General features: G+C 40.3%; 1 annotated feature.

The window, feature by feature from the left end:
- Positions 2,417–2,711: a silencer, noted in NCBI's record as "tiled region #7593; HepG2 Repressive non-DNase unmatched - State 13:Ctcf, and K562 Repressive non-DNase unmatched - State 13:Ctcf". NCBI's record gives its function as "represses a minimal TATA promoter and a strong SV40 promoter by Sharpr-MPRA in HepG2 and K562 cells {active_cell/tissue: HepG2 | K562}" and the evidence as "EXISTENCE:reporter gene assay evidence [ECO:0000049][PMID:27701403]".

Consider the following 3,203-nt stretch of genomic DNA (forward strand, 5'->3'; position numbering starts at 1 on the left):
TAAGAAACTATTCTCCTCTGCACTCCTGACTTCTTTCTTTTCCTCTATCCTTAACTAATATGCTTTAAGGAAGAAGATGATTAGAGTTGGAGCCAAAGACTCAGTGTCCACAGCAAAGACTGAAAATCATACACACCTGTTTGCATATACTGAGTAGCTCTGGAGAGAAGCAGAAATAAAATATCTATGCCTCTGTTAGAGTCAGGCACTGAAGGAAATAATGTATACAGTGGTCCATTTTCAAGACAAAGTGCCTTGAATTGGCTTAGGTCAGCAAACTACAGAAAAAACAGGATGTACTAGGCCCCTGAATGGATAACTGATGCCTCCTTTTGGGTCTCCCCCTCCCCACCCTACCCCCACCACACCTGAACGAAACAAGTTTAGTATAAGATAAAAGTTTCAAGCCTGCAAAATAGCTCATTTTGTCTGTTCTTATCAGCCTGCCCAGCTTCTTAGGTCATAAGTCACTTGAAAAGTCATACCACTTGAAAAGCCCCTGAGCTAACTAGGATTGCAATGCATTGTGGGCTGCAACAAAATGCAGCAAGAAAACCCTAAAGAGAACACCTAAAGCCCCTACCCAACAATCAATAAGCGACATCTGGAAAGATTGTGACCCCATAGTACTCAGCCTATGAGGAACCGGGAAACGGATCTGCACACTAGGGGATAAATTGCTTGTTGAAACTATGCTGGGTGTGCCTACTCATCAGACACCTGATCTTGCAAGACCATCATTAAAAGTCTCACTTTCACTGTTTTCTGGGCCCCTGAGTCCATTCTTTGGGTTTGGACAAGTGAGTTTGTTTCTCACATGCACCAAAGTCAAAATCCTGCCTTGTACCATGGGGCAGAGGTGTATGAATTCAATGGATGGGTTTTGGGCAAATTCACAGTGGAGGATGGAGCCTATCATGGTCTTGTGTTGGAGGCCCTTTATACCACACAAATCTACTACTGTTGCTTCTACATTTGAGTGCATAATAAAATTCAATGAGTTATATATTTGTACCCAAAGTGTCAGAGATTATTTTCTTGATAATGAATTGCTGAATGTAGAAAAGTGTTAGGGAGACAAACTCTCTTGGAATCCCTTTCCACCACCTTTGTTAAATAAGGATGTAGCATTAGTATCTCTACCTCTGCTGTCCGAAGATCTCACTTATAGATGATGACCTACTAATTGCCAAGTCAGAAGCCTCAGTTTCATCAACCCTGATTAGTTTGTTATCAAACCTCTGCCAGCAGAGGTAGGTTATAGTTTCTGACAAAAATTCAGGGGCCTGTTCACCAAATAAATTTTCTTTGGATTATGTGGGAAGCCTTACAATGCTCTATTCCTCTGGCAGTCAAGGAAAAACTGCCATCCCCTCAACTCCCCACAGGTAAAAAGGGAGGCCCAGAACCATATGGAACTCAAGTATTGAAGACACTAAGTGCATCACTTGGGCATCCTTGGATTTTTTTGGATATTTGTTAATTCACAAATCAGTATTTATTGAGTGGGGTCCAAATCAACAGGTTTCACTGGAAAATATCCAGAAAGCTGTGGAGTCTAATGTTGGGGACATGCAACCCTGATGACACCTTGAGTTATAAGCCTGTGTGATTAATGATTTTGCTGATTGGATCCTCTGGCAAAGGAAGATATACTCCACCTAAGGTGGTTCTTTGGGTTTTAGACCTTTCATTTCTCTAGCATGATTACCATGTAAACTGTGTTTTATAAATAGCTATGAGCTTGCTACTGGGCGCTTGTAAAAAAAAAAAAAATGTCTGACTCCCCGAGAACTTGTGACTCTTTAATCTGTTAATTTGGGGTAAGCCAACTCAGGCTCTATGACTAACAAAGTGGGAAGGTCCCAACAAACCTCACTTGTCAAATGTAAATGGATATTTAAAAATGCAGCTTTCCTGGGCCCCGCTCCATCACCACTTGATATAAAAAAGTGGCAGCTAGTTCTTTGTGGGAACTGAAATCCTCATTCTACTCTCTGGAGAAAAATCTCCCAGCTAAATGGGGTCCACTATTCATAAAAGTTCCCCTAAATGCTTCAACCTGATCCACTGATGTTTCAGCTAAACTGAAACTCAACGGTGATCCCTGAGCTGGTGACACTTTTTAACCTCAGTGCCATTCATGAAGAACTGAATGGAGATTTTCTTTTTCTCCGTTCAATGAGCAGGATTTAAGACTAATTTTTTTTCATAGCACTGCCCAATACACTCCTTGATGAATTTTGTTATACTTGTACTAACCTATGGAATATTGCTAATGGCCTAGCTCTTTGGTCTTTTGCTTCAGAAACTGTAGGTTGGCATGTTAAATGCATTTCACTTTGGGGCCTATGAACTGTGGAAGGAAATCACAACTCCTGATTGTACTCTCTGGGTCACTCATATAGAAGCTAGCAGTGAGAGCCCATTCTCTGATTATACCCACTAGAATCAATCTGCTTATAGGGCCTGCACTGGTTTATTGCCCCCATCTACCTGCAACCATTTTTGTACCAGATGAGCAATACATCACCATTACAGATTAGGCACAAATTAAAGTACTACATGTTTGTTATGAAGAGGTGATCAGTACATGTCAAACTCGTAGCTTCTGCTGAATTTGAGTTGTTCATCTCTTAATAAGGAGGCCCCATAACATGGGGTATGAGCTGTGCTCCTTCACGGAAGATTGACTGCCTAAAACTTTGACTCCCTCTTGAGGCTGTCAGTGGTGTTACACCAATATTTTGAAACTTCAAGTTAGTGTTCTTTTTCCATTCTGATAAGTTAACTCCACCTTTATGGCCTTAATACTAAACTGTGTTATGTTTTTGATCTCCATTACCATTTCCAAACTGCCAATGGTGTGCCTTTTAACTCATAAGCACTCAAAATTATCAAAAGACTTGATGTTTTTTTCACAGGCTGCATCATTCACAATTATTTAAATTTGCTAAGCATTAGAGCAGCCTTCTCAAAAATTGACTCAAAAACATTTCTGACTCTAACTCCCTAATTTCCTCCAGGGACCTTAGTAATGCAGTTTGACCAACACATGCAACTATTACTAGAAATGGGTCTTAACCTATTTGCTACTTTCTGGTTAATCATCAGGATAAAAACTGTAAGTGGTTTCATATAGAAAATTTCATCAGAAAATTAGGTTTTCTGACCTGCTATTTCCAGGCACAATTCTTCTCCAC

Source organism: Homo sapiens, chromosome 13, assembly GCF_000001405.40.
Source record: "Homo sapiens chromosome 13, GRCh38.p14 Primary Assembly".
Classification (NCBI taxonomy): domain Eukaryota; kingdom Metazoa; phylum Chordata; class Mammalia; order Primates; family Hominidae; genus Homo; species Homo sapiens.